General features: G+C 44.1%; 1 long non-coding RNA gene across 1 annotated transcript in view, besides 1 other annotated feature; it reads left to right on the top strand.

The window, feature by feature from the left end:
- The first annotated feature begins 1,097 nt into the window (after window positions 1-1,097).
- The window catches only part of LOC105376121 (uncharacterized), a 42,215-nt gene continuing 22,762 nt past the window's right edge, over window positions 1,098-20,550 (top strand). The window contains exons 1-2 of the long non-coding RNA XR_001746810.2: window positions 1,098-1,187; window positions 1,476-1,696. This is a non-coding gene — a long non-coding RNA (uncharacterized LOC105376121). The remainder of the gene's footprint in view (window positions 1,188-1,475; window positions 1,697-20,550) is intronic.
- Window positions 20,121-20,220: a silencer, noted in NCBI's record as "silent region_19986". NCBI's record gives its function as "represses an Ori minimal core promoter by ATAC-STARR-seq in GM12878 lymphoblastoid cells {active_cell/tissue: GM12878}" and the evidence as "EXISTENCE:reporter gene assay evidence [ECO:0000049][PMID:35858748]".

Raw genomic sequence — 20,550 nt, 5'->3', positions numbered from 1 at the left:
GTATTTGATTTATTGGTTGGGACCGTTAGATCTAATCACCAGCTGGTTTCCAACCTAACTTGGAAATTCTGCACTTTTTTTTTTAAGTGAACATTATGCCAAACTAAAAATATTTTAAAGTGCGTAGAAAAAGCAAACCAACAAAATCTACCATCTAGGTGCAAATTTTCAAGCTGGTACCACAAATGAAGCTTTTTACTTATTTTTTTTAATCCCAAACTATCATTCGTGGATAGAGACAGTGCATCAAAACTGCTGGAAATGGAAACTGAACACGAGTCAATCTGCTGTTTCAATTACTTGAAACCTCTGCTTTAAAAGCATTTTGTTTTGTTTTGTTTTTCTCTCTAATCTTCTAAATGGTTCTGGAGGGAGCACAGCCATGGTGGACATAATGGGTGCATCCAACATCACCACAGAGGGAAGGGGACACAGGTGAGGTTTCAGCCTAGAGGAGAGAATGGAAAGTTGCTGAGGTTACCTTGACCATTTTTGATGGTGGAAGCCAGTGAGAGTCCATGAAAGAGGCTGTGACAACTGAAATTCCTATATTTTTTGTGTTTCTGTGCCTACTTGTCATTTACTACTTTTTTCTTTTGAACCTGATTGATTTCTAGAAAGTTCTGATTGATTTCTAGAAAGTTCCATAGGCATTTATACGCAAATCTCCTTCTCTTTTCTTCCTTTTTTTTTCCCCTTTCCGAGGCAGAGTCTCTGTTGCCCAGGCTGGAGTGCAGTGGCTGCTCTCCTCTCACTGCAACTTCTGCCTCCCAGGTTTAAGCGATTCTCGTGCCTCAGCCTCGTGAGTAGCTGGGATTACAGGCGCACACCACCACACCCAGCTAATTTTTTGTATTTTTAGTAGAGAACAGGGTTTTATTTACCATGTTGGCCAGGATCGTCTTGAACTCCTTCTTGATGATGGAATTGACAGTTGAAGCTCAAACACAAAATCATGTCAGCACCAGGCTAGTCAGAACCCATCTGAGAAAAGCCAAGATTCTAACATCAGGAAATCAGGAATAAATCACACGGTGAGCTGCAGGGCGTTGGCGGGGGCAGAAATTTTTGACGGTTGTGCCTGGCACATAACAGACACTCAAAAAATACCTTCTGAATAGACAAGCATCAAAGTGCAAGGCAGGAGTGAAGTTGGAATGGAAGAGCAAGGAAATCTAGGAAAAGAGGTATGGAGGGAAGAAGGACTCCAGAGTGTTTACTGTCAATACAGAGTATTGAAAAGAAAAGAAGTCCAGAGAGGAGGTGTCTGCAGCTAGCCTGTGTGTCTTGGACTCAAAGAGTGTCAGGCAGGCTTCAAAGGCCAGAGGCAAGGCAGATAAAACAGATTTTTAAAAATTGAAGTGAAAAGAAACAGATTTTATTTTGAGAATTTATACACTGAGAGTAGGCAGCACTGATGTAAAGTGAAAAAGGATTTTTTTAATGTCATGCCTTCATTTGTACACCACCTACAGCTTCAAAATCCTTTTATATGTATCCATCTAATCCTTGAGGTGGGTATGAGCCTCTTTTGGCGGTCGGCAAGGATGGGAAAGATGACATGATTTCACGACTCATAAAGAAAGTGATGGAGCTGTAGCTTGAATTCTTTTACTTCAAATCCACAATGCCATGCCTTGCTCCAGTGAAGGACGGACTGCTGTTCTGTCTCCTAAAACCCACACAGCTCGCCTGGGTAAGTCTCCAGTGAAGTGTGCCGAAGTGAGTTCCTTGTTAGTGAGCTCTGTTTTTCTCCTGGTGCTCCGTCGATAAAGGAGCAGTTTGGGGACTGCTGTTCTGTGATCTGAGGAATAACAGCAAGGATTTTCTGGTTTTTCTAAAGGGAGCCACTTATGGGAAAGCAGAGATGGTTTAGCAACAGCTGTGAAATATGGTTTCATAATTAATACTTCGGGGATGGAATGAATATGTTTAGTATTTTTGTTTTTCTCACTGTTGAGAAGAGGTGAAGAGAGATGGTGGGAGGTGAGGTCCTAAGTGTACAGGGGATGTTGAGAACTGATCTAAAAGCCATCCTGGCCAGTATGATCTCGGTGGCAATTTGAGTGCAGTATAATCGAGACAGTAGCTACAGGGCTGGTGTTTCCTGGCAAGGGATGCATTTTAAAATTGTCGTGGGTGACTGATTTGACCTGCCTTTGCTGGTGCTTAGTTGTTGAACAGTGAGGTGGAGACGAAGATTTTCAGCAAACCTTCAGGGACTTACTCGTTCTGAAATGAGTGAGCACTCAAGTACCGTTTCCTCCTGGATAGATGTGACTGAATTTGGGCTCAATTATTAAGAGGCCTCTTTCTTATGTCTGTTTTAAAATTTATGGAGGGAGATAAAACAGGGAAAGAAACACCCCATTTTTGGTATAGAGGCTTTTCTTTATATCCCTCTTTCAATCTCCCTGCCCTCTTAATCATCCAGAAGGCAAGACTTTCGAGCCTCATGAAGCCAGCTTTATCTGACAGGATGGACAGGGAAAGGCCCTGGGCATGTTGGAGGGGATGAGGGCACAAAAGGATGGCAGCTGGTGCTTTTTTCAGAATTTTGCTTGTATCCTCTGGTCATTTTTATTCACTTTTGTCATTTTGCCATTTTTGCGCAGTGATGAGTGTAGGACAAGCAAGGAGGTGTTGCAGCCGTGTGGGCTCTGGTTGGAGCTCCGCCCCCTCAGGAGGGGAATGTCCTACTTGAAGATTAGGGAGAGGCAGGCTTCTTCTAAAGTGTGAGTCCCTTGGTCAAGAGGTCCTAGAAAATAAGGACCAATACTAGGTAAGCCTGTAGGTGTGCTTCTGGCACCCTGATACACTACCTGTAAAACACTGACAATTACACAGGGTCAGATAAACTTTTTAAAATACAAATTTAGGCCAGGTGCAGTGGTTCACACCTGTAATTCCAGCACTTTGGAAGGCTGAGGCAGGCGGATCACTTGAGGTCAGAAGTTCGAGACCAGATGGGGTTTAAAATACTAAAAATACAAAAATTAGCCAGGCATGGTGGTGTGTGCCTGTAGTCCCAACTACTCAGGATGCTGAGGCACAGAAATCGCTTCAACCCGGGAGGCAGAGGTTGCAGTGAGCTGAGATCATGCCACTGCACACCAGCATGGGTGGCAGAGGGAGACTGTCTCAAAAAAAAAAAATTAAATGTAAGTTCTTCCATATTTTATGGGCCTGCAGAGTGCATGCCATGAAACTTACTCAGGTGGAGTGGATTCTGCTCAGGAAAACAGAGACCTTTTATTTCAATTAGGATATGATGTAAAAATCGCACATATAGTAGAAAAAGCAATTACATACATATATGCTGCCATTGAAGACTTTCTTTCCCATACGTGAAGGTAATAGCTAACTCACTTTATGTCTTATTTTCCTATGTTCCCTTCCCCACCCACACTTCTATGTGCGTTACCTGAATTTTGTCTGGATATTTCTGATGACAACATCGTCTCTTCCTAATCAACCCATATTATCGCTTCCGATATCCACTATGCTTTGCATGTGTCCTAAGATGTAGGGAATTTTCTTTGTAATGAATGATTAACTTTTGTTCATTGCTTTCTGTTCATTGGAATTACATGTGGAGTATTCACAAATGAAGATCACCCTCTGTTTCTCTAGGATAACATGTGGGTCAGAGATCTTAGTTGAAAGCCCTAGAAGCCATCTCTGGCTGATGTAAGCAGAGGAATATTGGGCAGATCACAGAATTGTCTTAATTAGAGTGGGTCCATGAGCCTGACCTGAAAAAATTTAGACAGCAAGTCAAAGGGAAAGAAAGCAAAAGCTTCAGAGAGGTACAACCTGTTTTATTTTGTTTTGTTTTATTTTATTTTATCTTATTTTATTCTTTTTGAGACAGGGCCTCACTCTGTCGCCTAGGCTGGAGTGCAGTGGAGTGATCATGGCTCACTGTAGCCTTGACCTCCCAGGCTCAAGTGATCTTCCCACCTCAGCCTCCTGAGTAGCTGGGACTACAGGTGCACACCACCATGCCCCGCTAATTTTTGCATTTTTGTATTTTTTGTAGAGATGGGGTTTAGCCACGTTGGCCAGGCTGGTCAGGAACTCTTGAGCTCAAGCGATCCACACACCTCAACCTCCCAAAGTGCTGGGATTTTAGGCATAAGCACTGTGCCCGGCCTTGTGTTATTTTTTTGCAAGACCTTTCCTTCTGTCATTGGTTTATTGAGTGATTAATTTTTTAGGCATGATTTATACATGCTGGGAATCTACGTTCTCCAGAAAATGTGGGATAAATTCATTTCTGCTTGATGCCTTTGGCTTCTCTCAGTCTGATAATGAAGGGGTGAAGCTAGCTAGGGCTCCAATAATTGGTGCTCTGTGAATATTAAACTCTTCCTGATGATGTTTACCTTTTTATTCTTGTCCTCGAGTGTGTACAGGAAAGGTGAAGACTCTGCATTCATTTTTCATTGCAGCTGTAACAAATCACCAATAATTTAGCAGCTTAAACACAAATTATTTTACAATTCTGTAGGCTGGAAGTCTGACACAGATCTCAGCAGGCTACAATCAGGTGTCACAGGGCTGCGCTCCTTTCTGTAGGCTTCAGGAGATCCTGGATCTCTGTTCCCCTGCTGGCTATCAGTTGAGGTCTACTCCCAGCTTCTAGAAGCTACTTGAATTCCATGGCTTGTAGCCTTTTCCTCCGTTTTCAAAGCCGGCATTGGTGGGCTGACTCCCTCTCATGCATTGAATCTGTCTTGATTATTTTCCTCTTGTCTCTGACCAAAGCTAGGAAAGATTGTCCAATTTTAAGGACTCCTGTGATTAGACTGGGCCCACCTGGATCATCTAGGATGATCTCCCACTCCAAGATTTATGCCTTCAATTATATCTGCAAAGTCCCTCTTGCCACAGCTTCCAGAGATCAGGGTGTGACATCCTTGGGAGGGGGAAGATTATTCTGCTGGCCACAGATTCTACTGGGGTTCGTTCTGAAAATCATTGGCACGTGTATCTGTAAATCTTCTTCACCCTCGAGCAGGCAGATGCGCTGCCTTTGAAAGTGCTTAGATGTTATAGTCACCTGTCACGAGCCCCGAGCTCTCGGGAGCCGGCCTGTGCACAGCACAACGTGGAGCCAGCCTGTCCCCAAGGTCAGCTCTTGTTATCTATTAAGCAAAGGAGCCAATAACCAGGCCAGTTAGGGTGTAATCTCACTCTGGTCCACGGAGTCCCCTTTACTTTCTACGTAAAATCCAATGAGATACTTTCTTGGGTGTTTGATGCTTTGCTGATTTGAAGATGCATCCTTCTCGGGGCAAGGCCAGCATTTCTCGGAAGGGGCTCACATGTCTGTTCTTTGGAGCTGTGGGCAAAGAGCCTATCTCTTCAGGTAACGTAAGCAGTTACAGATGTTTGCTGGGGCTCTGGAAATTGAGCGAGCAGAGCCACATGAGTGAGTGCTCAGTAGTAACAGTTGATCTTTGGCTGTTTCCCAGAATATTTCTACGTGTTGTGAAAACCAGTCATTGGTGCTTGGAGAATGACTGTTGCCATGGATACCTGGTTATTCTAATCGGTCCCACGAGCTAACTGTTTGTAGGAACAGGTCTTCTCCTGCCCCAGCCATGTGGCTCTGCTGCCCTGCCCACCTGGGCACACCTGATTATCAGAGCATAAGCAGCTGATGAAACTGGACCAATGCATCTGTTCCTGTGTGTCTCCTGACTTTGCACCAGTGACAACGTTTGGCCAGTGTCTCTCTTCAGTGCTGAAACGGTCAGAGAGAAAGCCCAGAAGCTGATGGCAGTCACCTTCTATGGAAAAAGCCTGCCACAGCAAGAAGGATGCACACACAGAGGGAGAGCTTACCTGGCTTTGTGGGGCCAGATCCTAGTCCTCCTAGGACCCAGGCACATTTTCTTGTCTTACTTTTTTTTTTCTTTTGTTTTATTATACTTTAAGTTCTGGGATACATGTGCAGAACGTGCAGGTTTGTTACATAGGTACACACGTGCCATGGTGGTTCGCTGCAGCCGTCAACCCATTATCTACATTAGGTATTTTTCCTAATGCTATCCCTCCATTAACCCCCAACCCCCTGACAGGCCACGGTGTATGATGTTCCCCTCCCTGTGTCCGTGTGTTCTCATTGTTAAACTCCCACTTATGAGTGAGAACATGTGGTGTTTGGTTTTCTGTTCCTGTGTTAGTTTGCTGAGAATGATGGTTTCCAGCTTCATCCATGTCCCTGCAAAGGACACAAACTCATCCTTTTTTATGGCTGCATAGTATTCCATGGTGTATATGTGCCACATTTTCTTTATCCAGTCTATCATTGATGGGCATTTGAGTTGGTTCCAAGTCTTTGCTATTGTGAATAGTGCTGCAATAAACGTATGTGTGCATGTGTCTTTATAGTAGAATGATTTATAATCCTTTGGGTATATACCCATTGATGGATTGCTGGGTCACATGGTATTTCTGGTTCTAGATCCTTGAGGAATCACCACACTGTCTTCCACAGTGGTTGAACTAATTTACACTCCCACCAACAGTGTAAAAGCATTCCTATTTCTCCACATCCTCTCCAGCACCTGTTGTTTCCTGACTTTTTAATGATTGCCATTCTAACTAGAGTGAGATGGCATCTCACTGTGATTTGATTTGCATTTCTCTAATGACCAGTGATGATGAGCTTTTTTCTATATGTTTCTTGGCCGCATAAATGTCTTCTTTTGAAAAGTGTCTGTTTATATCCTTTGCCCACTTTTTGTTGAAGTTGTTTGTTTGTTTTTGTAAATTTGTTTAAGTTCCTTATAGATTCTGGATATTAGCCCTTTGTCAGATGGATAGCTTGCAAAATTTTTCTCCCGTTCTTTAGTATGCCTGATGATATCCTTGGGAGGGGATCACTCTGATGATAGTTTGTTTTGCTGTGCAGAAGTTCTTTAGTTTAGTTAAATCCCATTTGTCAGTTTTGGCTTTTGTTGCCATTGCTTTTGGTGTTTCATTCATGAAGTATTTGCCCATGCCTATATCCTGAATGGTATTGCCTAGGTTTTCTTCTAGGGTTTTTATGGTTTTAAATCTTACGTTTAAGTCTTTAATCCATCTTGAGTTAACTTTTGTATAAGGTGTAAGGAAGGGGTCCAGTTTCAGTTTTCTGCACATGGCTAGCCAGTTTCCCAGCACCATTTATTAAATAGAGGCTCCTTTCCCCATTGCTAGTTTTTGCCAGGTTTGTCAAAAATCAGATGGTTGTGGATGTGTGGTGTTATTTCTGAGGCCTCTGTTCTGCTCCATTGGTCTATATATCTGTTTTGGTACCACTACCATGCTGTTTTGGTCACTATAGCCTTGTGGTATAGTTTGAAGTCAGGTAACATGATGACTCCAGCTTTGTTCTTTTTGCTTAGGCTTTGCTTGGCTATACAAGCTCTTTTTTGGTTCCATATGAAATTTAAGGTAGTTTTTTCTAATTCTGTGAAGAAAGTCAATGATAGCTTGATGGGGATAGCACTGAATCTATAAATTACTTTGGGCAGTATGGCCATTTTCATGATATTGATTCTTCCTATCCATGAGCATGGAATGTCTTTCCATTTGTTTGTGTCCTCTCTTATTTCCTTTAGCAGTGGTTTATAGTTCTCCTTGAAGAGGTCCTTCACATCCCTTGTAAGTTGTATTCCTAGGTATTTTATTCTCTTTGTAGCAATTGTGAATGGGAGTTCACTCATGATTTTCTTCTGTGTTTGTCTATTATTGGTGTATAGAAATGCTTGTGATTTTGGACATTGATTTTGTATCCTGAGACTTTGCTTATCAGCTTAAGGAGATTTTGGGCTGAGACAATGGGGTTCTCTAAATATACAATCATGTCATCTGAAACAGAGGCAATTAGACTTCCTCTCTTCCTATTCGAGTACGCTTTATTTCTTTCTCTTGCCTGATTGCCCTGGCAGAAACTTCCAATACTATGTTGAATAGGAGTGGTGACAGAGGGCATCCTCGTGTGATGCCAGTTTTCAAAGGGAATGCTTCCAGCTTTTGCCCATTCAGTATAATATTGGCTGTGGGTTTGTCATGAATAGCTCTTATGATTTTGAGATACATTCCATCAATACCTAGTTTATTGAGAGTTTTTAGCATGAAGGGGTGTGGAATTTTATTGAAGGTCTTTTCTGCATCTATTGAGATAATCATGTGGTTTTTGTCATTGGTTCTGTTTATGTGATGGATTACATTTATTGATTTGCGTATGTGGAACCAGCCTTGCATCCCAGGGATGAAGCCGACCTGATCATGTTGGATAAGCTTGTTGATGTGCTGCTGGATTTGGTTTGCCAGTATTTTATTGAGGATTTTCACATCAATGTTCATCAGGGATATTGGCCTGAAATTTTCTTTTTTTGTTGTGTCTCTTCTGGGTTTTGTTATCAGGATGATGCTGGCCCCATAAAATGAGTTAGGGAGGAGTCCCTCTTTTTCTATTGTTTGGAATAGATTCAGAAGGAATGGTACCAGCTCCTCTTTGTACCTCTGGTAGAATTTGGCTGTGAATCCTTCTGGTCCCGGGCTTTTTTAGTTGGTAGGCTATTAATTACTGCCTCAACTTCAGAACTTATTGATCTATTCAGGGATTGATTTCTTTCTGGTTTAGTCTTGGGAGGGTGTATGTGTCCAGGAATTTATCAATTTTTTCTAGATTTTCTAGTTTATTTGCGTAGAGCTGTTTATAGTATCCTCTGATGGTAGTTTGTATTTCTGTGGGATCAGTGGTGGTATCCCTTTTATCATTTTTTACTGTGTCTATTTGATGCTTCTCACTTTTCTTCTTTAGTCTGGCTAGCGGTCTATTTTGTTAATCTTTTCAAAAAATCAGCTCCTGGATTCATTGATTTATTTCAAGGCTTTTTCATGTCTCTATCTCCTTTTGTTCTGCTCTGATTGTAGATATTTCTTGTCTGCTGCTAGCTTTTGAATTTGTTTGCTCTTGCTTCTCTAGTTCTTTTAATTGTGATGTTAGGGTGTCAATTTTAGATCTTCCCTGCTTTCTCCTGTGGGCATTTAGTGCTATAAACTTCCCTCTAAACACTGCTTTAGCTGTGTCCCAGAGATTCTGGTATGTTGCATTCTCATCGGTTTCAAAGAGCTTATTTATTTCTGCTTTAATTTCGTTATTTACCAGTAGCCATTCAGGTGCAGGTTGTTCAGTTTCTATATTGTTGTGTGGTTTTGAGTAAGTTTCTTAATCCTGAGTTCTAATTTTATTGCACTGTGGTCTGAGAGACTGTTTGTTATGATTTCTGTTCTTTTGCATTTGCTGGAGAGTGTTTTACTTCCAACTGTGTGGTCAATTTTAGAATAAGTGTGATGTGGTGCTGAGAAAAATGTATATTCTGTTGATCTGGGGTGCAGAGTTCTGTATCTGTTAGGTATGCTTGGTCCAGAGCTGAGTTCAAGTCCTTAATATCTTTGTTAATTTTCTGTCTTGCTGATCTGTCTAATATTGACAGTGGGGTGTTAAAGACACCCACTACTATTGTATGGGAGTCTAATTCTCTTTGTAGGTCTCTAAGAACTTGCTCTATGAATCTGGGTGCTCCTGTGTTGGGTGCATACATATTTAGGATAGTTAGCTCTTCTGGTTGCATTGATTCATTTTCCATTATGTAATGCCCTTCTTTGTCTCTTTTGATCTGTGTTGGTTTAAAGCCTGTTTTATCAGAGACTAGGATTGCCACCCTGCTTTTTTTTTGCTTTCCATTTGCTTGGTAAATATTCTTCCATCCCTTTATTTTGAGCCTATGTGTGTCTTTGCACATGAGATGGTTCTCTTGGATACAACACAGTGATGGGCTTTGACTCTTTATCCAATTTGCCAGTCTGTGTCTTTTAATTGGGGGATGTAGCCCTTTTACATTTAAGGTTAATATTGTTATGTGTGAATTTGATTCTGTCAATATTATGCTAGCTGGTTATTTTGGCTGTTAGTTGATGCAGTTTCTTCATAGTGTTGATGGTCTTTACAATTTGGTATGTTTTTGCAGTGGCTGGTGCCGGTTGTTCCTTTCCACGTTTAGTGCTTCCTGCAGGAGCTCTTGTAAGGCAGGCCTGCTGGTGACAAAATCTCTCAACATTTTCTTGTCTGTAGAGGATTTTATTTCTCCCTTGCTTATGAAGCTTAATTCAGCTGGATATGAAATTCTGGGTTGAAAATTCTTTTCTTTAAGAATGTTGAATATTGGCCCCCACTCTCTTCTGGCTTATAGAGTTTCTGCAGAGAGACCTGCTGTTAGTCTGATGGGCTTCCCTTTGTGGGTAACCTGACCTTTCTCTCTCTGGCTTCCCTTAACAATTTTTCCTTTATTTCAACCTTGGTGAATCTGACAATTATGTGTCTTGAGGTTGCTCTTCTCGAGGAGTATCTTTGTGGTGTTCTCTGTATTTCCTGAATTTGAACGTTCTTGCTAGGTTGGGGAAGTTCTCCTGGATGATATCCTGAAAAGTGTTTTCCAACTTGGTTCCATTCTCCCTGTCACTTTCAGTACACCAATCAAATGTTGGTTTGGTCTTTTCTCACAGCCTCATATTTCTTGGAGGCTTTGTTCGTTCATTTTCATTCTTTTTTCTCTAATCTTGCTTCATGCTTTATTTCATTAAGTTGATCTTTAATCTCTGATATCCTTTCTTCCACTTGATCAATTCAGCTATTGATACTTGGGTATGCTTCACGAAGTTCTTGCGTTGTGTTTTTCAGCTCCTCCAGGTCATTTATATTCTTCGTTAAACTGGTTATTCTAGTTAGCAATTCCTCTAACCTTTTTTCAAGGTTCTTAGCTATCTTGCATTGGGTTAGAACATGCTCCTTTAGCTCAGAGGAGTTTGTTATTACCCACCTTCTGAATCCTACTTCTGTCAATTCGTCAAACTCATTTTCTGTCCAGTTTTGTTCCCTTGCTGGCGAGAAGTTGTGATCCTTTGGAGAAGAGACGTTCTGGTTTTTGGAATTTTCAGCCTTTTTGTGCTGGTTTTTCCTCATCTTTGTGGTTTATCTACCTTCGGTCTTTGGTGTTGGTGACCTTTGGGTGGGATTTTTGTGTGGACGTCCTTTTTGTTGATGTTGACGCTATTCCTTTCTGTTTGTTAGTTTTCCTTCTAACAGTCAGGTCCTTCTGCTGCAGGTCTGCTGGAGTTTGCTGGAGGCCCACTCCAGTCCCTGTTTGTCTGGGTGTCACCAGCAGAGGCTGCAGAACAGCAAAGATTGCTGCCTGTTCATTCCTCTGGAAGCGTCATCCCAGAGGGGCACCCGCCAGATGCCAGCTGGAGCTCTCCTGTATGAGGTGTCTGTCAATCCCTGCTGGGAGGTGTCTCCCTGTCAGGAGGCACAGGGATCAGGGACCCATTTGAGGAGGCAGTCTGTCTCTTAGCAGAGCTCAAGCACTGTGCTGGGAGATCCACTGCTCTTTTCAGAGCTGACAGACAGGAATGTTTAAGTTTGCTGAAGCTGTGCCCATAGCCACCCTTCCTCCAGGTGCTCTGTCCCAGGGAGACAGGAGTTTTATCTATAAGCCCCTGACTGGGGCTGCTGCCTTTCTTTCAGAGATGTCCTGCCCAGAGAGGAGGAATTTAGAGAGGCAGTCTGGTTACAGTGGTTTTGTGGTGTTCCGGTTGGCTCTGCCCAGTTTGGACTTCCTGGTGGCTTTGTTTACACTGTAAGGGGAAAACTGCCTACTCAAGCCTTAGTAATGGCAGACGCCCCTGCCCCCATCAAGCTCAAGTGTCCCAGGTTGACTTCAGACTGCTGCGCCTGCATTGAGAATTTCAAACCAGTGGATCTTTGCTTGCTGGGCTCCATGGGGGTGGGATCCACTGAGCTAGAATACTTGGCTCCCTGGCTTCAGCCCCCTTTGGCTCCCTGGCTTCAGCCACCTTTCCAGGGGAGTGAATGGTTCTGTCTTGCTGGCGTTCCAGGCGCCACTGGGATATGAAAAAAACTCCTGTAGGTAGCTTGGTGTCTGCCCAAATGGCCGCCCAGTCTTGTGCTTGAAACCCAGGGCCTTGGTGGTGTAGGCACCAGAGGGAATCTCCTGGTCTGCGGGCTATGAAGACTGTGGGAAAAGCATAGTATCTGGGCCAGAATGCACCATTCCGCATGGCACAGTTCCTCATGGCTTCCCTTGGCTAGAGGAGGGAGTTCCCCGTCTCTTTGTGCTTCCCAGGTGAGACGATGCCCCACCCTGCTTTGGCTTGCCCTCTGCGAGCTGCACCCACTGTCTAACCAGTTCCAATGAGATGAGCCGGTACCTCAGTTGGAGATGCAGAAATCACCCACCTTCTGCATTGATCTCACTGGGAGCTGCAGACCGGAGCTTTTCCTATTCGGCCATCTTGCCAGCCACTCCTCTTGTCTTACATTTCCTTTAACACTCTAGTAAGTCTCTTTTTGGCCTAGTTCCTTATTTTGTTTGGATTGGGTTTCTGGCTGTTGTCAGCCCTGAGCTTTGAGCTGGTGATGTCTTCTCATGAGAAATTGAGAAGGACTACAGTAGGAGGTCAGCTCTTTGAAGGTAAGGGTAGGGTTCTAACTACTCTGTCATTCCCATAACACAGCTGTGTGTTCCACGAAAGTGAGGTGGTGTTTTTTTGGGTGGCACAGTCCAAGGTCCTCAGAATAGCTCAGGCCACAGAGAAACTTCCTGGTTTCATGTAGTTGAACCAAGACTTGGAGATGACCTCATTTGTGTCACCTGGCAAAAAGGATTGTGAAAGCAGAGTCAAAGTATGAAAGATATGGGTGGAGACTGCTGGTCGCTCCCTAGTTTGCACTTCACCTTCTTCTAGAACCCCTGACTTTAAGCTGGGAACATGGTTGCCCATTATGAAGACTTCGTTTTCCAGTCTCCCTTATTGCTAAGTTGGTCATGTTCCTATGTTCAGGTCCATGGGATATGAACAGAATTGTTGTATGGAAGCTCCTAAAAGCATTCTTTGAAAGGCAGGAAGCTTGCACTCTCCACCGTCCCCACCTCCTTGCCTTTGTCCCTTCTCCATTGTACTTGCTGGAATGCAGTTGGAAGAGCCAGTACTCTAGCTGCTGTTGGTGGACCATGAGGTTGAGCCCAGGCCATGAATGTGTCAGAGTGGTGCTGTCTACCTCTGGAATGTTACTTGATAGAGAAACACTTTTTAATTTCACTTTAGCCATTGGTTTTTCAGGTTTCTATTGCAGCCATACCTAATTTTAACTGATAGCAGACACTGGGCAGAGAACACTCTCCTGCTTCCAGAGGCTATGGGCATTCCATGGGAGCTGTAGTAGGGGAAGAGTGTAAAGGTAATATTCTTCTGCGGATGTGTCTTTGGCTTTTAAAGATTATTAACTCTGGACAGTAGGTTGATTATGGTCATGGATTAAACAAAACATTCTCTATTCTTCTCACTCACTTCCTGCTTTTTAGAGGGCAACTGGATGAACTTTTCAGATATTTGAATAGCTTTGGTGATTTTGTTGACTCAGTGCCCTTAACATACACGGCCATACTCTATGCTGCTTGGCTTCAGTTTTAATGACCATGACTCATTTTAAAAAGGGAAAGCTCTTCAGAAAAGAGGCTTCCCAAACTGCCCAGGCTTCCTTATAAGTGAATCAACACAGAAGTGCTCAGTCCATCAAAATAATGTACAACCTCAATAAAATGCAGTGAAAACAAACACTGTAAAATTCCACAAATGAAAGATATTATTGTAGTTATTATTATAATAATGACAGGACATTCCTGTTCTTTTTAATGTCTACTATGGGGTTACTGATAAAATCACTCAACCTGAAAATGGGTGGTTTGATTTTTAAATAAAGGGTGATTTTCTTCCAAAGCTGGTTTGGCTGAGTTCCTCAGATAGTCCAGCTGTGTGCAACAAACTTTACAGTTTGCCAAAGACACATTCCCTTCGTCTTTGTTACTTTTGTTTAATCCTCACAGCAATCTTTAATCACAAAAGAACAGAGGTTCAGAAAGCTTAAGAAACCTGTTCCAAGTCCTGTGGCTGAGATGGCCAGGATTCCATCCAGACTTTGAATCTGGGAATGTCAGGGAAGGAAGGAGAGGGATGGAGGAGACCTTGCGAATTTCCCTGGGGTTGGGCACTTGTGCAACCCACCTTGGACGATGGATTCAGTCCATCGGGTGCTGGGGAACGAGAAGGAGCCCATTTCAGTCTGAAGCTGTGCTTGTGCCTTGCTTGCCTGGACACACCCTCCCCTGTCAGGGTCGCAGTCCTGACCCACCTCTGACATCCTGGCACATCTGTAGAACTTGCAGGAACAGCCCCTTCAAGCAGCTGAAGTGCAGCCGCCTCTTAGCGGATGGTGGTTAATAATAGGCTTTGTTCTCTAGGTTCTTCTATTTTCAGCTACCGAATACAATTTATAAAGAAAAAAAATACACACCACCATCCCCCCACCCCTTATCAGATCTCTTATAATTATAGAATAAGGTGCCTGCGAACTCCCAGGGAGCTGGTTTCCATGGCAATGACAAGCTATTATATTCTAAAGGCCAAGCTAGAACTCCACCCCCTCGTCCTCGCCACTGCTGTGCGTCTTGTTATTGCAGTGTTCCAAAATAAACTTGCTGCCTAATCGTAAATCCCATATAATTAGAGATGAGCTAATCGTTACCCCGCTACCTTTGTGCGGCCCACTCATCATGCTAGCAGTTTCTAGAACAGCGATGCTGACGGACTGTTTGATGTCAGAATAGACCTTCCTCCTCCAGGAACTGGGTGCAGCATCTATCCATGTATGGCTCAGGACCCTTTCACCGGAAAAGGCCTGACTTACGGGACCTGCCCAGGGTGCTTCAGCAAACGAGAGGGGCTGCTTAGGTAGCGACTGACCACGAGATCTGTGGCTCTCTCCAGCTCTCCATTAAGGATGGGCAGAGAAATCTCCCTGGAGTCGCATAGAGCTCTCCCTCTCACGCTTTATGGTTACCTGCTGGGAGCAGCATCAGGGCAGCAGATGTGACACTGGGAGGAAAGGCATTTGTCACCTCCCTTCTTCTCATTTCTTTTTTACTTATTTATTTATTTTTTTGAGACAGAGTCTCACTCTGTTGCCCAGGCTGGAGTGCAGTGGCACAATCTCGGCTCACTGCAATTTCCCCTTCTAGGGCCCAAGCGATTCTCCTGCCTCAGCCTCCCGAGTAGCTGGGATTACAGGCACCCACTACCACGCCTGGCTAATTTTTTGCATTTTTAGTAGAAACGGGGTTTCACCATGTTGGCCAGGCTGGTCTTGAACTCCTGACCTCGTGATTCGCCCACCTCGGCCTCCCAAAGCGCTGGGATTACAGGCGTGAGCCACCGCACCAGTCCTCTTCCTCCCATTTCTTGCTCTGCCTCCTGCTCCTCCTCTGTAGACTGGAGGTGCGTTTTAGCACATGTTTTGTCTGGCTTGTGTAGTTTTCATCCGCCAGGGATCATTGTCCTGTTTTCAGCAGGTGGAGTCCCCAGCAGGCTTGCATTCAGTGCAGGGGTCCTTAGGAAATCCATCCTCCTGGAAACAGACGATCTGTGAAAAAGGGAACAGGATAATTTCAGATAAGCGCTGGAGGGAAACCCAAATAGGGGTGATGCTTAGAATGTGTTTGGCGTGTGAGGGGCTTGCTTCCTCTAATATCTGAGCAGAGACCTGGAAGACAAAAAGGCTGATTATAGCTTACCTGTTCAGGGGTCCCATTTGCTTCATTTCACTGAAATGCCCCTCATGCACAACCAGGTTTGCAGTGGGATTTTAATGGTGCCCTGGCTCTGGTTAATTTCATCTGTGCTGGCTCCCTTCCTTTGGCTCCTCCAGGTCCACTCTGGGCCATTCTTCTTCTGGGTCTCTACCTCAGATCTTTAGAAGCACCAGCGGGTCTCTGCTAACTGCTTGGTCTTAGCTGGTGCAAGGCACTAGCAGGAGACTGGAGAATGGTGGAGAGTGGCAAGCAGTCAGCTTATGCCTTGACTTGGCTTACTTCCTGCGGGCTCTCTGTGGAGTGGCTGCTGCCCTCTACAAAGGCCATGGGGGCTACCAGGTGGCCCTCTCTAGAGACCTACCCTCTCTGAGTCCTGGTACTCGCTCTCTCCCCTTGTCCCTTTAGGCTTAGGGGGGACAACAGCTTCTGACTGTTGCTAGCCCAAGGATGCCTTTGCCATCCCATGTGGGTGTGGTTTCGTTCCACCTGCTATCACTCTTGCAGACAGTGCCTTTATTAAACCCTGCGCTCATCCCAGGTCGAGTGTGCTCTCCTCTTCCTTCCCAGGCCCTGACTGAGTCCGTTTCCCTCCCCCACCGACACCAGCTTTCTCTGTGTCTTTTCTCTCACTGTGCACCCTCTTTGCTTTCCTTTCTTCCCTCTGCCTCATTTAATCCTACTCATTCAATGTCCAGCTTCAGTCTCATGTCCTCTCACCCACTTCCTGTCTCCACACTCCTGCTTTCCTAAGAATCAGCCCCCTATAGCTTAGCAGTCACTTCCCTGTTATCCTATAGGTTCCTGTCTGTTGATTTAATTTCCCCAGCTAGACTTTAACCTTCTGCAAGGACGGGGACCACAACAAGGTGCTCTTCTGTCTGTGACTCAAGAAGCACTGGGGGCACCTTACCTGCTGGAGAACGTCTCCCTTGTTGGCCGTGTGTCTACTGCTGTCTGGGCCCAGTCTCAAACTGCATGGGTTGCCAGGCTGTGAATATCAGGACAGGGGAACACATTTAGCTGTTTCATCTAGGTGTTCTGATGGGTGGGATCTTGGCAAAATAGCACTACACGGGGATCATATATTTTTTCCTATTTTCTAAGTCATGGTAGGTAATTCCAAAGACCTTGTTCACTTTCCTCAGAATAGTAATGGTAACAAAAGCATAAAAGCTGTTTAGGAAAATACACGGCAGATCCTGTCCACACAGAAAGGAGCAATTAATAAAGAGGAGAATGGGCGACCTGGAAATCCCCATAATGAAAGTTTGTTTAGGAACTAGATACTAAGTGCAACAGGGGCGTGAAAGCGAATAAATGCTTCCCCAAGAGATCCTAGCAACCAGCAGTGGGATCACAGGAAGGGCCGACATCCTAGATTTTTAAACTCTTTAGAATCCCAGGAGACATAAATCAAATAAGCAGATTTGTTGCTTCTTTCAACTGAGAAAAAAACATGGTTGATTTTTTTAAAGTGCTGCTAGAGAATAATGTATTGAAAAAGCAAGAATCGTAGTGTTGCCCAGGAGATTAAAATCAGGGGAGGAAAAACAAAAGGCAAAAACCCCAAAATTCAACCAGATCAACAAGGAGCATAGCTTCCCAACATGCAAATCCAGACCGATTTTTAAAAATTAATCGTCACAATTGTCTGTTAATTGTACCTTTGCCAGTTGATTACGGTATTTCTTAAACAACATCCCACTACTAAGCAGCTTTGCAACACTTGATCCTCTTCTGATACCTGTTCTGTGCTTAGGATATCGAAAGCGAAGTGGGATTAATTCTGGCCTCTGGCAGCTGGGGTAATTTAAGGCTTCACTGGAGTGGGACAGGTCACCGCAGGTTGAGCTATAAAAGCTGCCTCCAGTGTAACTTTGCTCGGGGTAACACACTGCAAAGTGCTTGGATTTTTTTTTATCGAGATTAAAAATGATCTCTTGCTGATATTTTCATTTATTACAGGAAGGCAATTTGTTAGGTGGGCTTTCAGAGGAGAAGATGTTGTTCCGATGATTTTTCTGGATTTACTTCCATGTGGTAGCGGAGAGGAAGGCAGAACTGATTTGGGACCTTCCTGATAGGGTGCAGCAACTCTCCCACTTCAGAGCAGACCAGCACTCGGTTCTGGCCTCCAGAGTCTCCCCTGTGCCAACAGAGGTCCTTGGGCGGGCAGCCATATCCAGCAGCCATGGAAGGAGCCATCAGGAGCAGAACATGGGCCAGCAAAGGATGGTGCACAGTGGGCTGGTGTTCTTAGCCAAAATGGTGCTTATATCTCAAAACTCTAGTGTTTCCACTGGAGAGGGTTGGAGCAGAGGAAGAGGTAAAAATGGCGAATGGTGTGGGTCAGCCTCAGACAATCAGAGAGCTGATAGGACATCGTCTCTGGGGTTCGCTGGAAGGACTTGGAGTTGGGGTACGTTATGAGTTGGCTGAGGCCCATGTTAGCAGATGGGGCAGGAGCCAGAGAAATATGGGTGGCAGAGTTAGGGATCTTAGAATGGGGAGACAACTTGGCTAGTGGGGCAGCACGGGATGTGGTAATACTGAGTTTCATTTTGCTTGTTGATTTTGAAGTCACTTGAACATCTAAGTGACATGTTCTTCGTGTTCTTCATCAGGAAGGGGATGGTTGAATATTTGGAGTTTAAAAATGACATAATTCCTTTGAAAGGGGAGCTGTTTAAACACTAATCAGCCCTTTACACATTAGTATAAATAAAAAGTCTGCAAGTAAGTTTTGATAGAAAGGGAAAAATAAGGAGCCATTGTCAATGCTGATGGGAAAGTGATTATCGCAGGGGAAGAAACTCAGCCACAGCAAGAGCCTGAGGGGTCCACAGTCGGCCGCATGATACAGCCTGGGCCTGCCCTGTGGTGTCTTCTCTCCATCAGATCTATCCCTAATTTCATTCCCAAGCTGATGAGGAAACAAATCTACCCACATCTATCTCCCTTAAACTCTTATATATCACTAGAGTTCTTATTATTCCTTTTGTTTAAATATGTGATTTCTTACATTGTATTTTTATTTTTTTTATTGAGGTATGCTTTACTTATCATAAACCTTACCCATTTTAAGTGTACAACTCAATGATTTTTGGTAACTTTATTGAATTGTACAGGCATTACCAGTTTTAGAACATTTTTATTACCTCAGTAAGATCCCTCATACCACCCCGCCACAAACTTTTTTTTTGTTTAAGACAAAGCCTTGCTCTGTCACCCATGCTGGAGTGCAGTGGTGCAATCTCAGCTCACTGCAACCTCTGCCTCCCGGGTTCAAGCGATTCATCTGCCTCAAACTCCCTAGTAGCTGGGACTACAAGCACGCGCGACCACGCCCAGCTAATTTTTATATTTTTAGTAGACACAGGGTTTCACCATATTGGCCAGGCTGGGCTCAAACTCCTGCCCTCGTGATCTGCCCGCCTTGGCCTCCCAAAGTGCTGGGATTACAGGTGTGAGCCACCGCGTCCAGCCCCTCATACCCTTTTAATGTTCATCGTCATTCCTGGCAGTACCTCTGTTGTGGAAAGTGGGATTACAAGACATGTTCCAGTTTCTTCAGAGAGGTGAGTATTGGAGAAGATTGTCCTTGAGTTCTGGCACTGGGAGGCTATGAGTCCTAATCCCAGCTCTGCTTAGTATTAGTGAGTTTATTCAATCACTCTGGACTTCAGTTGTTCACTTGAAAAATGTAATCAATAATATCTACCCTGCAGGGTTGTTCAGATGATTAGAGATAAGGTATGTGAAGAGCCTGCCACATAGTTCAGTGAAATTATGAAATTATTTCATTACAAATACACAGATGCTTGTAAACAATAGGAATTGATTGGATGCAGAGACTGAATTTTGAGGTCTATTATTTTACTATTTTGTAATTTAATCAGTGGAATGGGGTAGGAAGAAGGAGAAAATACAATTTATTTGTAATAGATATTGGCTGCTTTAAAAAATCAAATGCATTTAAAAAACAATTCCTTTTGATTTACACTGCTCAATTTTCCCCTCTTAAAACTACACAGAGATTTTCTTTCCAAAGAGCTTTTCCAAATGGCTTGACTCCCCTGACCTCCCCCAACCTCAACCCTGTCTTCTACAGTTTTTTTCTTGCTTTCTTCTGAAATAGATTTGAAAAAACAAGACCCTGACTGCAGCTTTTCAGAGCCCGGTAGTGATTTTCTCTTCTGGTATGAAATTTAAGACCCATAAAATGCAGTTGCCATTTCCTGTGGATGTTCCGCTTCTGTGTTCCGATTTGATATTTATTGCCACATGAGTCAAGATCACAATAAGTTGCTCCATTGCCCTGTGTTATTGATGTAGTGCCACCCGTTTACGTGGGGGAGTTCAGCTGCTGGCCGGGTGCCTGTTGCTAAGTACCTGGAAAACTAAACGTGGCCACTAGGGGGTGCCGCTCTCCCAGAGTCCTGACCCGGGTCCCCATTTGGGAAGGGAGAGAGAGCACCGGGAAGGGCTGCTCCAGCGCCCTCCATCTTCCTCCCGAGGGACCCCGCAGGTGAGGAGCACCATAGGCCCAAGCTCTTCCACCTTAGCCAATCCCCACGCTAGGGCAGCTTCCAAGCGGCCAGGGAATGAATGGGAGCTCTCTGCCACTTTGAATTGTGGGATCCCTCCATGGCTTTTTCTGGGGAAAGGCGTTTTAATCGGCTGTGCCAGAGTCACTAAACGGTGCTTGCTAAAGATATAGATTCTTGAATTTCATTCTCTAGACAAAGTGAACCAGAATCTCTGATGATGAGGTTCAGAAATCTCCATTCCCAACACTTGTTCCAGATGACCTCAGTGCACA

Source organism: Homo sapiens, chromosome 9 (genome assembly GCF_000001405.40).
Source record: "Homo sapiens chromosome 9, GRCh38.p14 Primary Assembly".
Lineage (NCBI taxonomy): Eukaryota > Metazoa > Chordata > Mammalia > Primates > Hominidae > Homo > Homo sapiens.
Note: the sequence above shows the minus strand (reverse complement) of the source record. Positions and strands in the feature narration are given on the sequence as shown.